Source organism: Homo sapiens, chromosome 11, assembly GCF_000001405.40.
Source record: "Homo sapiens chromosome 11, GRCh38.p14 Primary Assembly".
Classification (NCBI taxonomy): domain Eukaryota; kingdom Metazoa; phylum Chordata; class Mammalia; order Primates; family Hominidae; genus Homo; species Homo sapiens.
In genome coordinates this window covers 46,291,029-46,311,822 of record NC_000011.10, presented here as the reverse complement: position 1 = coordinate 46,311,822, position 20,794 = coordinate 46,291,029, and the positions used below count along the sequence as shown (strand labels likewise).

Here is a 20,794-nt window from a genome sequence, read left to right as displayed (position 1 = left end):
AGGCAGGGCGAAAGGATTTGAATTCCTGACCAGATGCGGTGGCTCACGCCTGTAATCCCAGCCCTTTGGGAGGCTGAAGTGGGCAGATCAAGAGGTCAAGAGATTGAGACCAGCTTGGCCAACATGGTGAAATGCTGTCTCTACTAAAAGTACATAAATTAGCTGGGTGGTGGTGTGCACCTGTAATACCAGCTACTCGGGAGGCTGAGGCAGGAGAATCACTTGAACCCTGGAGGTGGAGGTTGCAGTGAGCCGAGATCGTGCCACTGCACTCCAGGCGACAGAGCGAGACTCCATCTCAAAAAAAAAAAACAAACAAAAAAAAGCCAGACACGGTGGCAAGTGCCTGTAATTCCAGCTACTTGGGAGGCTGAGACAGGAGAATTGCTTGAACCTGGGAGGCAGATGTTTCAGTGAGCCGAGATTGAGCCACTGCACTCCAGCCTGGGCAACAGAGCAAGACTCAAAAATAAAAGGATTAGAACTCCCATCTGCCAGGTAAGCATCCCTCTGAATTCTGATGAGGGTGGGGATCAGTCTCGGGGCTCCCCAAACCCTCCTGACTGGCCAGTGTGCTCAGGTGGATGTATTCAATTCCTCATTTCTGGGATCAGCCCACCCCCAGCTCCTTACGTGAGGGGCAGTGAGGAGTGGGGAGGTGGAGATGGCCGTGGAGGAGCGCGCCATGGGCCTGACAGGGCTGGAGGGGGGCAGAGAGCGGGGACTCTGGGAGCCGTCGCTGTCACTGCCATGGCTGCTGGGGGGCGTCGGAGGCATCTGCACCAGGTCCTCTGGGGAGAGCAGGGGAAACCGAGTTAGCAACGTTGCACATCAGCTCCACTTGGACATCATGAGTTCAGCTGAGCATGAGCTTGCACCAGCCCTGACATTGTGGGACACGGACTGCCAGGCGCTTGGTCTCAGCTATGACATCAGAAGCCCCTCTGCAGGGTCAGAAAGACAGTTGACATCTGGGTAGCCAATTCCTGGGTGCTGCCTCATCTGACACCACAGAGGCCCAGCTCCTTTACAAGCTCGCCCTTGGCATAGACATCATAGGAGCTGAATTCGTGGGAGGTCCTCTGTGACCTCTGACTTCACAGGGTTCAGGGCCTTAAGCTCAGCAACTCCAGAAGATCACTAAGCTCTAGCTCAGCAACCCCAGAAGGTGACTGGGGCCTCTCTCTCATAGGGTCAGGCTGGGCAAGCAGGAGCGATGGCAGCAGTAGATTGGGCAAGAAGAGGACTGGACGAAGGCTGGGTGCAGTGGCTCACCCCTGTAATCACAGCACTTTGGGAGGCTGAGACAGGTGGATCCCCTGAGTCAGGAGTTCAAGACCAGCCTGACCAATATGGCCAAACCCCGTCTCTACTAAAAAATACAAAAATTAGCCAGGCGTGGTGGTGGGCACCTGTAATCCCAGGTACTTAGGAGGCTGAGACAGGAGAATTGCTTGAACCTGGGATGGGGAGGTTGCAGTGAGCTGAGATCGTGCCATGGTACTCCAGCCTGGGTGACAGAGTGAGACTCCATCTCAAAAAACAAACAAACAAACAAACAAACAAAAAACAAAAACGAAGAGGACTAGACGAAGAGTGGGCATGGATGGAGGGACAGTGGGTAGGGCAGGGTGGAGAGGATATTCTGGGTGGGGGAAGGTTGTCAAGAGATAGGGATGGGCTGAACCAAGGAAGTGGGGATGCTATCTGCCTATGACTGGAGGGGAAAAGAGCCCTTCCCCTGGACACACCTACCCGGTGTCACTTTGAGGAACTGGTTCACCTCCAGAGGCTCTGCTTTGATCACTGGCAGCTGAGTCATCTCTCCCGGGGCCTGAGGAACAGACAAGCCCAGCTCCATTAGCTGCCCCTGGGTCTGTCCCCACCATGCCATCTACCCACCTCCTCCCTAAAGCTGGTTGCCTGCCCTGCACAGTTGGGGAAGTGGCTGGGCTTGGAGTTCTGGGCACAGCTGCAAGGGAACAGAGGCAAGCTCTTGAGCTTAAAGAAGCCAAGTCACACCTAAGAGAAAGGATTGCTGGCCAAGCAGTGTAGCTCAGACCTTAAGCTCAGAGAAGGTGAGCCTCTGAGTGTGGGGCCACCTTCCACACCAACTGTGAAGGCCACACAGGCTTTGGTATGTGGGTTGCCATGAGAATAAAACAAGAGGTAATGTCTGGAACAGTGTAGCTGTTCAATGGCTGGTAGCAGTAGTACAGAAGGAGGCATTAATTGGCTGGGGGCTCCGAGGATGCTCCCTGAGAAGTCAAAGTCTGAAATGAGTCCCGGGGTATAAATAGAAGTAGAATCTAGACAAAGAAGTTGGAGGCAATGAGAGCTCCTAATGGGTTGAAGTAAGGGCTTGATAGAATCAGATGGACATTTTTAACAAACATGCATTTCTCTTTATTTCTATTCTGACTTGTTGTTCCAGAAAGGACTTCAAGAGCATGCATGGCTTTGTACACATGACTACCAACATGCAAGTAAGTGGTGCTCTGTCTGAGGAAGGCGTTGTTGGGGGCTGGATTGCAGGCCCTGGGCTGCAGCCCCAGAGAGATCATGATATTGTGGGTGGGACGCAGAATCCAGAATGTAGGCTGATGAGTAAGAATCCCAGAAGGTTCAAGTTGGCAGGGACCTTGGAGATTCCTTGGTCTACATCCCAGCTCAGCCCTCAAGTGACAGAGAGGGGACTGCGGTGCAGAGAGCTCACTGTTGACAATGCCAGCTCCTGTGCCTTCCACTAGGGGTTATGACCTCACTCGCGTGGGCTTCAGGGTCTGGCAGGCCGAATTTGGAAGGCATGTCAGTTGCTTCTAACTGCATGATTTTGGGCAAATTACTTAACCCCTTGAGCCTCAGTTTCCCTTTCTGAAGTCTCCTCTTCCCTGGCTGCTGCTGCTGTCACTCCATCCCTTCCTGCTTTGGCAAGGCCTGAGGAGTCTCAGAGCCAGTCTTGGAGATGGTCTCAAAAGATCCTGCATATTTGCCGCCGACCCTTGATCCCACGGGTCTGTGGTGGGGCAGGGAGGGGCTGACCTTTCTTGCCTTCAGCCACGTACAGTTAGAGCAAGTGAGCCGTGTGGCCAGCAGGGGGCAGGGCCAGCCACGCTCCCATCTAGGGATTTTAAGATGCTGCTCATCCTGTGGAATCCCAGGGCTAGAAGCACCTTAGGGGGTTCATGAGCCCCTTTTACAGAGAAGGAGGATGTGCAACATGCCCAGAACACAAAGGAGGCACCGAGTTGGGACTCAGGCAGGACCTCGGCTAGGAGCCAGGGGTCTGGGGTTCACATTCCCAGAGGGGTCTTGGGTTTATAGCTGAATGCTGTCATCTACACATTGGTGGAGGAGGGAGTTCAGCCTGAGAGTGTGGGTTAAAAATATTAATCTCATAAATGTAAACAATTGGAATATAGCACACTTTTTTTTGTAATTTCCTTTTTGGTCTTTTTTCTTTTTTAAAAATACTGAAGCTTTGAGAAAAGTCAGTGGCCTGGGCTGTCTCCACCTCTGAGACCCTGGACTGGGCTCCTGATGCCACCCCTGCCTGGAGCCCTGCAAGCTGTCTTTTTCTGCACAGACGAGAGCCTCAGTTACTCCAAGGGGGCTGTGGCTTGTGCCCGTTGCGGTATGGTGAGGGGGCAGCCAGGGGGGTAGGCGGAGGCCTGGGCTGGGCGGGGGCTTCCCACCCTCAGCCCTGAGGCTCATGTCTTCCTGTTCACAGAGCCCCAGGGCACAGGGCTTTGGGCACCTCTTCCCACAGACCCACCAGCCCTCCTCCCTCCCTCAGCCGCTACAAACAGTTCCCAGGCTCACCTGGTGGGGGATGGGCAGCCTGGACAAGGGGCTGAGGCCCAGCAGCGGGGTGGTGGCCATGGCGGCCGCGGCAGCCATGGCCGAGGGGGCAGCCAGAGGGTCCACGGGCAGCTCCGGGCTCTGCTCCTGCTTCACCATGATGGAGCACAGTTTGTGTCCCAGCGCCCATGCTCCATGCTCTGCATCTAGGGGAAGGGGAAAGGCTCAGGGGACTCTAGGGCAGAGGTCTCAGCCCCCTGCCTGCCCCCTGGGAGCTACCCTAGGCTGAACTGAAGAGAGCTGTTAGGGTAGACCAGGGGGCAGGCAGGAAAGAGGGTGGTTGTGAGGTGAGGAGGAGTTGTCTGGGGCCAGAAGAGGTGAGGACATCCTCTTCATTCAGCAGCTTACAGAATGAGCTTGGGCACCAGATTCACACTCCTCTTGATTGGCTGTGTGTGTGACCTTAGGCTAGTTGCTTAACCTCTCTGAGCCTGAGCTTCTTCATCTGCAAAATGGGGAAAGGAACAGGACGTACCTAATACAGAAGTTCTGAGGCTTAAGTAGTATAATGTACATAAGACACTTAACACTGTGAGTGTTAATACTTAACACTGGTGAGAAGTAAATGTTCAGGCTGAGCGCCGTGGCTCACTCCTGTAATCCCAGCACTTTGGGAAGTCAAGACAGGCAGATCGCTTGAGCCCAGGAGTTCGTGACCAGCCTGGGAAACATGGCGAAATCCCATCTCTACAAAAAATACACACACACAAAATTAGCTAGGTGTGGTGGTGTGTGTCTATAATCCCAGCTACTCAGGAGGCTGAGGTGGGAGAATCACTTGAGCGGCCAGGTGCAGTGGCTCATGCCTGTACTCCAGTTCTTTGACAGGCCAAGGCAGGTGGATCGCTTGAGTCCAGGAGATTGAGACCAGCCTGGACAACATGGTGAAAGCCTGTCTCTACTAAAAATACAAAAATTAGCCAGTTGTGGCGGCACGTGCCTGTTAGTCCCAGCTGCTCAGGAGGCTGAGGCAGGCAGGAGAATCACTTGAACCCGGGAGGCAGAGGTTGCAGTGGGCTGAGATCGCACCACTGCACTCCAGCCTGGGCAAGAGTGAGACTCTGTCTGAAAAAAAAAAAAAAGAGAGAGAATTGCTTGGGAGGAGGAGGTTGCAGTGAGCCAAGATTGTGCTACTGCACTCCAGCCTAGACAGACAGAGTGAGACCCTGTCTTGAAAAAAAAAAAAGAGTAAGTGTTCAATAAATACAAGCCAGTGTTAATACAACTACTGTTATTTAGTAAACATTTACTGTGCTAGATGCTGGGGATATAGCAAGAGTCACAAGCAGTTTAGCATAGTTGGAATGCAAAGGGGAGTGGAAGATGGGGTCAGAGAGGCCAGTGGGGGTGGCTTGGCCTTGGAGGCTGGGTTAGTTCAGAGATGTGACTTTATCCTAAAGCAAATGGGGAGCCGCTGAAGAGTTTTGTATGTGCTCAATTTTTTTTTTTTTTTTTATTGAGACAGGATCTCACTCATTCGCCCAGGCTGGAGTGCAGTGGTGCCATCATGAGTCACTGCAGTCTTGACCTTCCTGGCTCAATTGGTTCTCCCGCCACAGCCTCCTAAGTAGCTGGGACTACAGGCGCATGCCACCATGCCCAGCTAATTTTTGTATTTTTTTGTAGAGATGTTGCCCAGGCTGGTCTCGAACTCCTGAACTCAAGTGATCCACCCACCTCGGCCTCCTGAAGTGCTGGGATTACAGGCATGAGCTATTGCACCTGGCCCAAATTTGCAATTTTAAGAAAGATTATGGCTGGGTGCGGTAGCTCACGCCTATAATCCCAGCTTTGGGAGGCTGAGGCAGGAGGATCGCTTGAGCCCAAGAGTTCAAGGCTGCAGTGAACTATGATCAGACCACTGCACTCCAGCTGGGTGACAGAGCGAGACCCTATCTCTAAAATTAAATCAATTAAAAAAATATGGCCTGGCGCGGTGGCTCACGTCTGTAATCCCAACACTTTGGGAGGCTAAGACGGGCGGATCATGAGGTCAGGAGATCGAGACTATCCTGGCTAACATGGTGAAACCCCGTCTCTACTAAAAATACAAAAAATTAGCTGGGCATGGTGGCGGGCGCCTGTAGTCCCAGCTACTCGGGACGCTGAGGCAGGAGAATGGCATGAACCCGGGAGGCGGAGCTTGCAGTGAGCCGAGATTGCGCCACTGCACTCCAGCCTGGGCGACAGAGCGAGACTCCGTCTTAAAAAAAAATATATATATATATACACACACACACACACACACACACACACACACACACACACACATATATACACACACACACATATATATACACACATATATACACACATATATATGTATATATATACATATATATACACACACACATATATATGTGTGTGTATATATACATATATATATATATAAAAGATCACTCTGCCCTCGTGTGGGGACTAGACTGGCTGCAGGCAAGATGGAGGCAGGGAGAACTGCAGGAAGTGTTGAAATCGGCCAGGAGAGAGAGAAGGGGAGGCCTGAGCAAAGGCAGTGGCAGTTGTGATGGAGAGGAGGGAACAGATTTAGAAGGAAGCATCCACAGGACCCAGTGACTGGGGGTATGAGGCGGGTGGAGGAGGCGGCGGTGGGGAGCGGTGGGGAGCAGTGAGAGGTGAGGCTTAGATTTCCTGAGGGAAGAACCCACCTCCTGCCCACCTAGTGGGCCTCCTGGTTTCACCTGGGCAATAGGGCTGGCAGGCATCACCCCTTTTCCTGATGGGTGCCCACAGTCTTCCACTCTAAGTCAGCCCTGTTCATGGTGGCCACACTGCCTGGTAGCCATTGAAGCAGCGGGTAAGACAGGGGAGAGGGGAGGGGAGCCAACATTCAAGGCAGGGCTGGAGGGGACTCTGGACTTTGGGGCCTGCTGTGGTCGGGGAGAGGCAGTAGTGGCTGATTGACCACCTTGGAGGCCAGGCCGCACCCTGTTGGGAGCCTGAGTGCCCCAGCTCTGGGCCACAGGCTGCCCATGGGCTCCAGGAATACCCACAATCTTCCCAAATTACAGGGCCTGGCCACCGGCCTCCGGGAAGCTGCCCCCTGCAAAGGGCCCACAGACAAATTGCTTTAAAAATAGACGTGGGAGCTGGGTGTGGTGGCTCATGCCTGTAATCTCAGCAATTTGGGAGGCTGAGGTGGGAGGATCGCTTGAGGCCAGGAGGTTGAGGCCAGGAGGTGAGCCAAGATTGCAACACCGTACTCTAGCCTGGGTGACAGAGTAAGACCCTGTCACCCTGCCCGCCCCCCCCAAAAAATTAATAATTAAAAAAAGACTTAGGGTGGCTAAGGAGTTGCTGGGCTGACCTAAGAGGGGCGGATGTCCCTGCCTTCATGGGGTTTGGGGGGAGGTACAAAGGTTTGTCTTTGCCCCTAGGGAATCTCAAAGACTATCAGACGCAGCTCACACTTCTTGCGCTGAGCACAGCTCTAAGCCCTTGTCACACATGAGCTTCTATTTTTTTTTTCTTTGAGATGGAATTTCGCTCTTGTTGCCCAGGCTAGAGTGCAATGGTGCGATCTCAGTTCACCGCAACCTCTGCCTCCCGGGTTCACCGATTCTACTGCCTCAGCCTCTCGAGTAGCTGGGATAACAGGCATGCGCCACCACTCCCGGCTAATTTTGTATTTTTAGTAGAGACGGGGTTTCTCCATGTTGGTTAGGCTGGCCTTGAACTCCTGACCTCAGGTGATCCACCCTCCTCGGCCTACCAAAGTGCTGGGATTACAGGCGTGAGTCACGCGCCCAGGCAAATGAGCTTCTTTACTCCTCCCAACAACTCTCTGGGGGCAGGCACCATTGTTCTCACCATTTAACAAGTGAGAAAATTAAGAAATTCACTCAAGACCAGGTCCTTTAGAGGGAAAGAGGAATAAGAAGAACACTGTTCATTGTTACAAGCACCCATAGTGTTTCTGTTTTATTTTTTTTCTTTTTGAGACAGGGTCTTGCTCTGTCGCCTAGGCTGGAGTGCAGTGGTGCCATCATAGCTCACTGCAGCCTCGACCTCCGGGGCTTAAGATATCCTCCTGCCTCAGGCTCTTAGGTAGCTGGGACTACAGGCATGTGCCACCATGCCTGGCTAATTTTTTAATTTTTAATTTTGTGGAGAAGGTGTTTTGCTATGTTGCCCAGGCTGGTCTCAAACTCCTGAGCTCAAGCAATCCTCCTGCCTCGGCCTCCCAAAGTGCCGGGATTATAGGTGTGACTCAGCATGCCTGGCCCACCCATAGTATTCATAGGACTTTTATGTGCACAGTGAAAATAGTCACTAATTATTATTATTTATATTAATTTTTGAGACAGAGTCTCACTCTGTCATCCAGGCTGGAGCATAGTAGCATGATTTCGGCTCACTGCAACCTCCGCTTCCTGGGTTCAAGCGATTCTCCTGCTTCAGCCTCCTGAGTAACTGGGATTACAGGCACACACCTCCACTCCCAACTAATTTTTGTATTTTTAGTAGAGACAGGATTTCATCTGTTGGCCAGGCTGGTCTTGAACTCCTGGGCTCAAGCAATCCTCCTGCCTCGGCTTCCCAAAGTGCTGGGATTACAGGCCTGAGCCACTGCACTTGGCTGCTGCTAATTATTGATGTATATATTATGTGCTGGGCACTTAGCAGGGTATTTTGTATATATATATTTTTAAGCCTGACGAGAACTCTCAAGGCGTATATTATTTTCATTTTATCACTGAGGAAACAGAGGCCTAGAGAGGTTAAGTAACTTGCCCAAGATCACCCAGTGGCTGGTGGAGACACGGGGATGCACACCAATGCCCTTGTGGGTCCCAACCAAATAGCCCTGGCTGCCCTTCTTGACTGGCAAATGTGGTGGTGGCAAGGGTTTGCGGTTGAGAATCAGGGTGTGCTATTATGTCTCTGTTCTGCATTTTACTGTGGGCGTGACCTAGACAACTGAGCTTTTGTGAAGTCTCAGTTTTCTTTTTTATTTTTTTTTGAGACAGAATCTCGCTTTGTCACCTCCGCTGGAGTGCAGTGGTGCAATCTCAGCTCCCTGCAACCTCCGCCTCCCGGGTTCAAGCAGTTCTCCTGCCTCAGCCTCCTGAGTAACTGGAATTACAGGCGCACGCCACCATGCCTGGTGAATTTTTGTATTTTTAGTAGAGATGGGGTTTCACCATGTTGGTCGGGCAGGTTTCGAACTCCTGACCTCGTGATCTGCCTGCCTTGGCCTCCCAAAGTGCTGGGATTACAGGCGTGAGCCACTGCACCCGGCCAAGTCTCAGTTTTCTTATCGGTCACATGGAGATTATGATAAAAGTGATTCCAACCTCACCTGTCAGTCATGAGAAATAAATGTGATAATTAACATGAAGGCAATCTGTAGACTGGAGAGTACTATAGAAATGTTTATTGTTATTTGCATTTGTAGATATAGATACTAAGGATTACAGAGGTTAAGCAACATGTCTGTGATCACGTAGCCAAAAGCGACAGAGCCAGGACCACCTGTATTTGAGGAAATGCCCGAAGGGACCATTTCTAAGTGGGGCACAATGTGGGTCTTGAATGCTGATTACCTGAGTGGAAGAACTCAGGGTGCTCTTTGCTTTAAAGGATGGAGTTAGGGGGAGAGGAGAGCTTTAGAGAATGCTACCTTCAGGAATAAAAGAAGGAATCTCTCTCAAGTAGCGTCTCAGAGGACAACATAGTATGAGGAGGCAGTGAGGTTCTAGAGTCTTGGTAACTTGTCTACAGCTTATTATTATTATTATTATTATTATTATTATTATTATTATTATTATTATTTGAGACGGAGCCTCGCTCTGTTGCCCAGGCTGGAATGCAGTGACGCAATCTCAGCTCACTGCAAGCTCCGCCTCCCAGGTTCACGCCATTCTCTTGCCTTAGCCTCCTGAGTAGCTGGGACTACAGGCACCCGCCACCATGCCCGGCTAATTTATTTTTTATTTTTAGTAGAGATGGGGTTTCACTCTGTTAGCCAGGATAGTATTATTATTATTTTTGAGACAGAGTCTCACTCTGTCACCCAGGCTGGAGTGCAGTGGCTTGATCTCGACTCACTGCAACCTCTGCCTCCTGTGTTCAAGTGACTCTCCTGTCTCATCCTCCAGAGTAGTTGGGATTACAGGTGCCCACCACCACGCCTGGCTAATTTTTCTATTTTTAGTAGTTTCACCATGTTGACCAGGCTGGTCTTGAACTCCTGACCTCAAATGATCCGCCCACCTCAGCCTCCTAAAGTGCTGGGATTATAGGCGTGAGCCACAGCACCCCGTCTATTTTTTTTTTTTGGGACGGAGTCTCACTCTGTTGCCCAGGCTGGATTGCAATGGCGCAATCTTGGCTCACTGCAGCCTCCGCCTCCCAGGTTCAAGTGATTCTCCTGCCTCAGCCTTCCAAGTACCTGGGATGACAGGCAGCATGTAATGGAGGCACCATGTGATGGAGGGCATCATGCTGGGCTAATTGTTGTATTTTTGTAGAGACGGGGTTTTATCACGTTCGCCAGGCTGGTCTTCGTCTCCTCACCTCAGGTGATCCACCCGCATCAGCCTCCCAGAGTGCTGGGATTACAGGCATGAGCAACTGCACCCAGCCAGTTATTATTATTTTTGAGATGGAGTCCCACTCTGTTGCCCAGGTTGGAATGCAGTGGTGCGGTCTCAGCTCACTACACCTTCTCCACCCGGGTTCAAGCAGTTCTTGTGCCTCAGTCTCCTAAGTAGCTGGGACTACAGGAGCGCACCACCACGCCTGGCTAATTTTTGTATTTTTTTTTTTTTTGAGACGGAGTTTCGCTCTTGTCACCCAGGCTGGAGTGCAATGGCTCACGGCAACCTCCGCCTGCTGGGTTCAAGCGATTCTCCTGCCTTAGCCTCCCGAGTAGCTGGGATTACAGGCACCCACCACCGCGCCCAGCTAGTTGGTTTTTTTTTTTTTTTTTTTTTTGAGATGGAGTCTCGCTCTGTCGCCCAGGCTGGAGTGCAGTGGCGCAATCTTGGCTCACTGCAAGCTCCGCCTCCCGGGTTCACGCCATTCTCCTGCCTCAGCTTCCCAAGTAGCTGGGACTACAGGCGCCCGCCACCACCCCCGGGTAATTTTTAATATTTTTAGTAGAGACGGGGTTTCACTGTGTTAGCCAGGATGGTCTCGATCTCCTGACCTAGTGATCCGCCTGCCTCGGCCTCCCAGAGTGCTGGGATTACAGGCGTGAGCCACCGCGCCCGGCCCTGTATTTTTTTTTTAGTAGAGACGGGGTTTCACCATATGTTGGCCAGGCTGGTCTCGAACTCCTGACCTCGGGTGATCCACCTGCCTCGGCCTCCCAATGTGCAGGGATTACAAGCGTGAGCCACCACACCCGGCCCCACAGTTATTATTGAATTACCCCCACTGTCTCCTCTAAGTCAGCGGTTTGCAAATCTGAGTGTGCATCAGAATCACCTGGAAGGCTGGGCCCTACCCACAGGGTTGTGATTCAGCAGGTTGGGGGTGGAACCCGAGAATCTGCATGTCTAACAGATTCCCAGGTGATGCTGCTGGTCTGGGAACCACACTTTGTAAACCACTGACTTAAGTCAGCAAAAAACCCTTTTGAGAAGTGCTCCTCTGGCTTTGAGCTGAGGGAGAACAGAAAGGCAGGGAGGAGCACCTCCTAAGGGGTTTGTGGTGGCTCCTCTTGGAGCCTCTGGGAGTCTCAGGCTGCAGGCACACTCTCTTGTCACCCCAGAGCTTCCTCCCTCCTGGGCCTCCTGGGCCTGTGCTGTCCCCAGGTTCTTCCACCTCTTACCTTGGGTGGTGTCCTCCATCTTGATGGGCACAAGGGGGCTCTGGGGCGCTGAGTCGCCGCTCAGGGAGTAGCTGTGCTCCGCCTGGATGCCTGGCGTAGGGGAGTCCAGTTCCATGTCCAATAGAGGGCTCTTCTCATCCAGCACAGGGTCATCAAAGAAGCTGCTGAACAGGTCATTGGAGAAGTCCTCCATGTTCTCCGTAAAGTGGTCCAGGTGCTCAGGAAAGTGCTAGGGAAGGAAGAGGTGAGGGGAAGAGGGAATTCAGCTTTGCTTGGGAAGGGGGTGCAGGTGCTACTGTGGTGGTGCAGCACCCCACCATGGCCACCACTGTCCCTGCAACCTCCCATTACTGTGCCCATTCCCATTAATATCAGCAACATCACCAATCTCCCCAGTACCAACATTGCAACACCAACTCTCATCATTTCCATCATGACCGTTACCACTGTCATCCCATTCTCTCTACCACCAGCTCCACGCTCACCATTGTTATCTGCAAGGGTGAGCTCAGGATGGGATCAAAAACTCCCTGGACCAGGCAACAGGACACTGGGCTCTGTGACCTTTGTCAAATCACTTAAACTGCGTGAGTCAGTTTCTCAGTCCTTCTTACTTCCTTCATAGGCTGATGTGAAGACAAAGTAAAAGAACAACCGTGTGTCTACGCCAACAAGTTTGTTTTCCAAAGGCAATATTAGTGAATTTTGTATGATCTTTTGCTGGAATGTGGGAAGGGAGTGATGCAGGGCAGTGGGATTCTTGAGGCCTCCAGTCTCCTCAGCAGCACAGTGTCCATCTGTCCTCAAGACTTCGGGGTCTCTCTCCTTTCCCAAGCCATCCTTTATATGGAGAGGTTAGGCTCCGGAGCCCTACTATTTAGGTTCGAATGGTGGCCTCCATCCTTCTAGCTATGATTCAGTGCTGTTTAAACTGTGGGTGGTGACTCATTAATGGGTTGTGAAATCAATTTAGTGGGTCACGACCAGAATTTTAAGTAAAAATAAAACAGAAAAAAAAAAGTAGAAAATATCAGAGTGCACAGCACACAGTGGAGTTAAATACCTGGCAATTAAAAAAAATCACAGTTGTGTGTGTGAACGCACATGTGTGTACTTGGTAATGATGTAAAATATATTTCTTAGAAACAAAAAAGTCTGAAAAATCTTGGTCTCCATGATCTTGGGAAGGTCAATTAACCTCTCTGTTTCATTTCGTCCTCTGTACAGCTGGTAATATTAATAGTTCCTACCTTCCAAGATTGTCATGAGGATTAAACAAGTTAATCCACGTACAGGCCTTATAACAGTCCCTGGCACATAGTAATTACTCAATAAACGTTGCCTCTTATTGTTAGTAAAGCACTCCAGTGGCTGACATATGGTAGGTTCTTGTACATTATTTTTCTCTCTCTAAAGAATTATAAATGTGTAAAGAAATGTTTCTTTCTCTCTCTTTCTGTCTTGCTTGTGAGAGTCTCACTCTGTCACCCAGGCTGGAGTGCAGTGGCATGATTTTGGCTCACTGCAACCTCCATCTCCCGGGTTCAAGTGATTTGCATGCCTCAGCCTCCCAAGCAGCCGGGACTACAGGTGCGCACCACCACGCCCAGCTAATTTTTTGTATTTTCAGTAAAGATGGGGTTTCACCATGTTGGCTAGGCTGGTCTCAAACTCCTGGCCTCAAGTGATCTGCCCGCCTCGGCCTTCCAAAGTGCTGGGATTACAGGTGTAGGCCACCGTGCCTGTCCAATAAATGTTTCTATTGTTTGTTCCTTATTTATTGAACGAATGAATTTGCTGGTGGGTCAGAAGAGATGGGGGATGGGGGGCTGCCTTAGGTCCTGAAGCCCTGCCTGCTGAGTGGTTAAAGGCTTGTGCCAGGGGATTCCTTCAAGGTCTGGAGTTGTTGGCCCTTTCTGGCCTGGAATATTGGGAGCCTGTCCCAACCTGGAAGGTAATGAGCAGAGAAGCCTTCTGTATGAGCATAAGGTTCAGGGCCACATGAGTCTGTCTGCATGGAGTAGGAGATGAACACGAGCTCTGGAGTCACATAGACGTGCTTTTGACTCCTAGCTCCACCACTTGCTAAGTTGCTTAACTTCCCCGTGCCTCAGTTTCCTTATCCGTAAGGGGAAAATAATAGTTCCTACCTCATAGTGTTGCCATGAGGATCTAAAATTTTGTTAGATTAGTACTCACCTCATAGGAGTATGAGGGTAAAATGAGTAAATACTGTACATATAAAACACAGAACAGTGCCTGCTACAGAGTGAATGCTCGATCATTGTTAGTTATCGTCATCATGAAAACTGCAGCCCCTAAACTCTGTCCCCGAGCTGAGCTTGGAACCAATGGTGGGAGTTGTGGGGGGAATGTTTGGCCTTTCCCTCCAAACAAAGCCTGATGAGATAATCCAGGACAAAATGAGCTCAGAAGCCCCATTGGCAGGGGTACTCTCCCACTTCCCAGTTTGCCAGCAATCAATCATCATCCTACATTTCTGTTGTGCTTTTAACCCAAAGTGCTCTCCTATGCATTATTTCATTTAATCTTCACAATTATCCAATGAGACAAGACAAATGCATATTGGCATTTGACAGAGAGAGAAACTGAGGCCAAGGGCGCTAATGCAGCAGGGAGGTGCCCACCATCCCTCACTGTCCAGTCTTTTACAACTGCAGCAGACCCTCCCCGGTCCGGTAATTGCCCTGAAGCAGGGTTTGCACCCTGTTCACCTGCTGCCTTCCAGCACCTGGCTCATGATACTGGTGGAGGGACAGGGCCTTAGAACCCAGATGGCAATGCCATCAGCATACCAATTGTCCATCAATACCTGGAGTGAGGCAGTACCAGGAGGTCAGAGCTGAATGAGTTTCTAAGAATCACTGTGATCCCAGACAGAGGCCATTTACAGGGTATAACCACCCCCCAACCACCCAGCCAGCCACAGCCAGGGCCGCGCTGGCTACACCCTCCGCAGAGCCCGGGCCTGCCGGCTGGGGGCGCTTCCGCCAGTTCTCTCCCTTAGGGTCTCTCAAAGGCCTGGTGTTGGGCCCAGTGGGAGGGGGCTGTGAGCAGAGGGAGCCGGTGAGTCAGCCGCTAAGGTATTTCTCCAGCAGCTGCTTCTCAGGCGATAAGGGTTTGCCAAGCCCCTTCCTGGGGCCTGGGAGAGGAAAGATGCTTCCTCGGATCTGGGCTGGACTCCCTGAAGGCCTTGGCTCAGGCAGATGACCCAGGTTCTTCCCAGAGACCCTTTTAGGGTGCCCACAGGAAACTGCTTAGAGAGCTCAGCTGGCCCCATTGTGTGAGCAGTCCCCACCCCACCTGCTAGAAACAGCAGCCAAAACCCAGCAGGATGGAGCTTCCAGAGCAACGGGAGCCAAGTGGAAGGGGAGGGCGGCCAAGGGGCAGGCGGGGTGGGGGTGGAGGACACTCCGACGCCCAGGTCCTCTTTGCGCCGGGCTTCTTCAGGTGCTGGGTGGACGGTGGGCGCGTCCCATCATCCCTAGGCCCACCTCGCCCTCCTGGGAGCACTGCCATCAGGGACTCCCCTAGAGCGCTCTGCGGCCCTAGTTCCGTCTGATGCCTGGCCTCTCATGGCGGCTAAGGTAGGGTTGGTTTCTATCACCAAGTTAGAGGCAGAAGGGACGGGAGAAAGCTCCCCGACGGTCCCCTGCCCCTCGTTCCCCCCCTCCTATTTCTTAGTAGAGAAAACTCCAGTCCAGAGAGGGAAACACAGCTACCCAGGACGCACAGTGAGCGAGCTGGTGATGTCCGGGGCTGCAAAGTGAGCTGGTGAAGTCCAGGGCTGCCCTGGCGTGTGCGGGACCTTCTGGTCCTCTCACTCCTTCCACCGCATCCACTTGGCCCCATCCCTGGAAAGCCCATTTTGGAGACCTCAGACCTCCTCCGCTCCAGCACGCCCCCTTGTCCCCTCTACCCCCAACCACACCCAGCCCTCCCTCCACTTCACACACAAAAGTTCAGGTTTAGATTGTCCGATGGAAATTGGGGAGCAAGAGCAAGGGGTCGGCGGCCAGGAGTTCACGAACTTCAGGGGAGCCATGTGTCAACGCTCTGAGGGCGACAGGGTTCTGCAGGGGGTGAGCGTCCTACAGGGGTGCCTTTCCAGGCAACGGGGGTGGGAAGCCGGAGAAGGACATATTATGATTTGTTTCCCTCCTCGTTAAAGACTTTTTCCTATAGTCGTGCCAATATAAGCTCCTTCTCGGCTGTCACGCGCAGCCGGCGCCGGCTTCCCTCCCTTGGAGGAGAGGTTCCCGAGCTCTCCTGCTTGCAGACCTGCGTACCCCTCTTCTCGGCTGCACCCTCTCTTGGAGCCTGGCCTCAGCCGCCCGCCCTTTAAATTTTAGAGAAGGATCCGGGTGCCGCCGTCCTGGAGCGGCCCACAAAGGGTTAACCCGGGAACACCCGGGGCCGCCCCTCACCGGAATCCGGCCTGCTCACTGGTGGGAGCCGCAGAGCTCCTGGCCAATGGCGGGAGGCTGCGAGCAGCAGCCGGTGGCGGCGTGGAGGGCACCGGAGGAGTGCAGGGCTCGCGCGGAGGAGGGTCCCGGCCTGCGCCGACGGCCCGCGGCTGAGGGAGCGCAGGGTGCACTGGCTCGGGCCTGCATGGGACCCCTTCTGCGTCTGGGGCCGAGGCAGAAATGGCCTGGCCGTCTCACGGTGTCCTAAACCCCTCATCAGTAGCGCGGCCCCGCCCCCACCCCCGCAGGGAGAAGTGGAGACCGAGGGTCTCCCCGACGACCCCGACTCAAAGGGCGAGCCGGGCCTTAAATCCCCTTGCAGCTCCATCTCGAATCGTCCTACCGTGGGGCGCTTTGGTGGCTGTCTCTGGTGGCGGCAGAGGGGACTCTCCCGGGGCAGTAATGGTACCAGCTCTAGCCTTGTTTTACCCCTCCCTAAATTCCTTCCCCAAGGTCAGTGCAGAGACAGGGTAAAGCTCTGGGGGCGCAGCTGCCTGCTGGGGTCGGTGTAGGAGAATGGTTTCCCTGACCAGAAGCAGCCTCAGCGCGCCCTCTTCCCTCAGGTCCCTGGCTCCTTGGCGCCTGCACCCCCACTCCTAACTTCTGCCCCTCCCCCGGCCCAGGCTGGTTCAGTCTGTGCTTGGGGAAAGGAGGGAGGAGACCAGAGCGGGTCCAGGCTGAGCTGTGGGATAAGGGGTGGGGGGGAATCCTGAGCCCGGACATTCCTTCCGAGAGAGTGAGAGCTAGGGAGAGATGGGAGGAGAGGCCTCTCACATTTCCCCCTTTCTTTCCCCCCGCAGGCTGGGGCCCACAGACCCCCCCACACCCCAACACACACTGACCCATGCATTCCCGGACGGTTACTTGCCTCGTGGTCACTAGAAAATTGTCCCCATTTCAAGCTGAAGGGCCTTCAGTCTGAGTCACTGCTGTGCCTAGGGGGCGGGGAGTGGTGAGAGCAGGGAGAGGAGGTGGGCCCCTTGAGTCCCCGGTTGTCAGCAGACCCCCCTGTCCTTAAGCATTGCCATCCAGTAGCTGGGGTTCCTACGAGGCCCAGGCCTTGCCTTCCCAGAGCTAAAGCCGCCCTGTGAAGGAGAAAACGCACTGAACTGAAACTCAGGAGGCCCTAATTCAAGACCCAGGTGTGCTCTGAGACCTGGGCAGTGGCAGGTGTCTCCTCTCCTGGCCTCGGTTTCCTCATCCATTACAGTCTGTGTCTTTATGGAAGCGCGGTTGACAGGGGCCTAGAAAAGTGAATTAGTCTTCAGAACGTGGGCCTTTTTCCTCTGCCCTGGCCTTTTGGGGACTGGATGGTGTGAAACCAGTTCTCCTGGTCCCTGGAGCCAGTCCCTCCCTGAGTCTTCCTGGCAGAGTATGGGGGTTAAGGGAGCACGTTGTTCTGACCCCCGACCTCACTCTCAGCCCCCAGTCCCCATAGGCCTAGGGAAGGCGGCTGCTGAAGTTTCATATTTTCCCCTACCGAACTGGTCACCACAGATCCCAAGTCCAAATAAGCAGAAATACTTCGGTGTGTGTGTGCACGCATGCATGTGCACATGCTACACAGATGTGGGCTGAGGGGTTCCTTTGTACACAGGGAAACACCACCTCTCTGACACCACATAGTGAAAAGTACACTCATCGACACATTCAGCCAGTTCCATGTGCAGCCTTGTACAGGCGCTATCACACATACAGATACCCTCACAGAGTCACATAGGCTGACGCTGTCAGGTATGAACACAAACTCAACAAGACACACTCATCAGATGTGATCAGACAAACAGTGATTCACACCCCTACGCTCACACACATGCGAAGTCACCCCAGACACAGGATCACACAGACATGGTCACGCATACTCGCTGTCACACACACACCATCTCACATAACCACAGAACTAAATGTTGGCTGCCAAGCCAGCATCTCAGTGCCTGAGATGACTGAGTCATGTGAACACCAGTGAGGGAGATTTGGGAGCCCCGGGCTTGCATGGGGCTGGGACACTGAGGGCTGGGACTGAAGAAAGCGCCAACATGGGGACTGAGCTTTTCTTTGCCAGTGTGTGCTGGAGAAAGGAAGGAGAGAGGAATCAGCAGGCTGGCGCCAGCCGCGGGCTACTTCAAGGCAGAGCAGAGTCCTGGGGAGGGTGTGTATTCTCTGCAGCCCCCTAGCCCTGTTAGTCTGGCCCTTCCATTGCCCCTCCTGACACTGGTAACCTTGTCCTGGTCAGGCCATAGCTTCCTCATTTTCCCAGCCAGCCCCTGGCATCTTCTTACCAGGCAGCCCATGCGCTGTGGTCCAACCCTGGGGTGGGCACCAGGCACTGTCTGGGCAGGAGGAAGCGATGGCAGCGAGTGCCGCCGCCCAGGGCTGGGATTAGCTGTGTCTGGCACCTCCGAGGGCACAGCAGCCCACGGTCTGGCTGCTGGAGATGCTGGTCTATAGGCAGCGGCCAGGGGATCCCTGCAGGGCAGCTTAGGACACCGGAAACCGAGTGCCGGGGTTGGCGCAGGGGCCTCTGGAGAATAAGGGCATCTAGTCACATTCATTTATTCATCATTCATGCATTTGTTCGGTATTTACTCAGCACCTACTGGGTGCCCAGCTTTGTGGATACAGAGATGAACAAGATCCAGTTCCTGCTCTCAAAAGGCTTTCTGACCAATGGTGTGACAATGAAGGGTAAGTCCAAGTCTCAAACTCTGATCCCTCTCCAGAGCATTCTCCACCTTACATGAAGAGAGATCTTCTAGGCCACTCAAGGGGGCTCACACTTGTAATCCTAGCACTTTGGAAGGCCAAGGTGGGAAGATTGCTTGAGGCCAAGAGTTTGAGACCAGCCTGGGCAACATAGCGAGATCCCATCTCTAAAAAAAAAAAAATTTAAAAATATTAGCCAGGTGTGGTGGGTAATCCCAGTCACTCAGGAGGCTGAAGGAGGATTACTTGAGCCCAGGAGTTTGAGGCTGCAGTGAGCTATGATTACACCACTACACTCCAGCCAGGGCAACAGAGCAAGACCCTGTCTCTAAAAAACGGGATCTTCTAAAACTTAGAAGTCCTATGTCATTTCTCTGCTCCATTGATGAGGAACTTGTACTCATCATCAGTGAATCATGGCTCCCTACTACCCTTAGGATAGAGTACAGGTTCCTTGGTGTAGCTTCAAATGATCCAGCCGTATTGCCTATATGTCTTGCTGTGTCCAATTCTCGTTTGAATCTGCAAAGCCTAGCATTGGTCCCCGCACACAGTGGATGCTCAGGCATTCACGGAGTGACTGACTGACTGGATGAGTGTGTGAATAAAGGAGTGTGTCAGAGAGCTTATGGAGTCAGGCCCTTTTTTCTGTAGCAGAGAGCCTCCAGGAATGACCGTCCCGAATCTTGCTCTGATGCCAGCTTGCTTCTGCTCCAGGCAGAGTTTCCATGTGTTTGGACCCCTTCCCTCGGCTCCTCCCTAGTGGGGCCGCTGTACCCATTCTCCGGGTTGTTCTTCCTTCCCTAAGCCTTTCTGTTCTTAAGCCCCAGCAGACCAGGTACCTGGGAAGCACAGACTCCACTCAGTGCTGGAATTGCTGTCCCCCCAGACCCTGTCAGGCCTAAGGGTATAAACAGAACACAGTGGCCAACCCGCCAGGGCTGCTCTCTCGGCCCCTGGCCAGCTGGAAGGCCCTCCTCGCCTGGAGCCTACCGCCTCACTCTGGCTGGAATTCCCTTGGCCTCTCCCCTCTCCTCAGTGTACTCAGCATTCAGCCTCTGACATCCTCAGCGGTCCTGGCCTGAGTTGTCCTCAGGTTTTATTTTTGGAAGGAGTGGTATTCTCTCTCCTTATTTACTCCCTTCTTTCAGGGAAGGTGTGGGACCCCTGGGCTCAGCTGGGGATTAGGCTATTGACTCCAATCCCTGGGGTCTGGAGCTCTCTGGGCCTCCAAGGGAGGGGACCTCCAAAGACTCTTGACCCACCCGATGCTTCAAAGCCAGCTGTCTCTGCCTTCCTTCCCCCACCCAGTAGGTGACTAATGCTTGCCCTTGCCCTTCTTGAAGAGCCCTGCAACGGCCAAAAGAAATCATTACAATTTTCGAACTGAAAGGAATTTTGGCATCATTAGGTCCACCCCCTCTTACGTGAAGAGGCAAAGCAGTTCAATGGTTATAAGCAAGGGAGTCAGACGGACCTGGTTCTAATCCTGGTTCTGCTATACACTGTGCAGGCTTTGGACAAGTTACTTAACCTCTCTAAGCCTCAGTCCTGAGTATAAAATGGGAACGTTCATATCCACCCCACCAGGTTGCTGTGAGGATTAAATGAGACAACAATTGCGAAGTGCTTTATATAATGCAGGACATATAGGAGGAAGGCTCTCATTAAATGTAGCTGTTATTATTACAGATGAAGAAAACCGAGAGCTGGGGATGGGAGTGCACTTGCCTGGGGTCACACAGCCCAAGGTAAGCAGCCGTTTCCAGAGTCATTCATTTGTCTCTATCTCCCTTCCAAGGAGAAGAGAAGGACTGGCACCAGCCCAAAGGCACATTTTCCTTGAGTCAGTCGGATGGGCAAACCACTGGGTCTTCAGTGCCTCCCTCCTGCCATCATACCCTGGCCCACCTCTGTGGCAAGCATTTCCTCCATTGCCCCAGGG

At 52.8% G+C, this 20,794-nt stretch overlaps 1 protein-coding gene across 6 annotated transcripts in view, besides 3 other annotated features; it reads right to left on the bottom strand.

Moving 5' to 3' along the window:
- CREB3L1 (cAMP responsive element binding protein 3 like 1) overlaps nucleotides 1–20,794 on the bottom strand; it is a 43,748-nt gene that overhangs the window by 9,587 nt on the left and 13,367 nt on the right. For 3 of the 6 annotated variants that reach the window (NR_189153.1, NM_052854.4, NM_001425266.1), the window contains exons 2-5: nucleotides 11,660–11,888; nucleotides 3,823–4,007; nucleotides 1,756–1,834; nucleotides 634–791 (exon numbers count right to left, since the gene is read on the bottom strand). Coding sequence is in view for 5 of the 6 variants with exons in the window: in NM_052854.4 (NP_443086.1) it covers nucleotides 634–791; nucleotides 1,756–1,834; nucleotides 3,823–4,007; nucleotides 11,660–11,888 (651 nt within the window). In the remaining variant the exon portion in view is untranslated. Of the gene's footprint in view, nucleotides 1–633; nucleotides 792–1,755; nucleotides 1,835–3,822; nucleotides 4,008–11,659; nucleotides 11,889–16,489; nucleotides 16,665–20,794 lie in introns of those variants that run through there. The other 3 variants (NM_001425268.1, NM_001425267.1, NM_001425269.1) reach the window with 3 other exon arrangements.
- Nucleotides 4,616–5,311: an enhancer, noted in NCBI's record as "H3K4me1 hESC enhancer chr11:46328063-46328758 (GRCh37/hg19 assembly coordinates)". NCBI's record gives its function as "activates a minimal SCP1, AML or CMV promoter by ChIP-STARR-seq in naive H9 embryonic stem cells {active_cell/tissue: H9 hESC(naive)}" and the evidence as "EXISTENCE:reporter gene assay evidence [ECO:0000049][PMID:30033119]".
- Nucleotides 16,077–16,156: a silencer, noted in NCBI's record as "silent region_3301". NCBI's record gives its function as "represses an Ori minimal core promoter by ATAC-STARR-seq in GM12878 lymphoblastoid cells {active_cell/tissue: GM12878}" and the evidence as "EXISTENCE:reporter gene assay evidence [ECO:0000049][PMID:35858748]".
- Nucleotides 19,976–20,679: an enhancer, noted in NCBI's record as "H3K27ac-H3K4me1 hESC enhancer chr11:46312695-46313398 (GRCh37/hg19 assembly coordinates)". NCBI's record gives its function as "activates a minimal SCP1, AML or CMV promoter by ChIP-STARR-seq in primed H9 embryonic stem cells {active_cell/tissue: H9 hESC(primed)}" and the evidence as "EXISTENCE:reporter gene assay evidence [ECO:0000049][PMID:30033119]".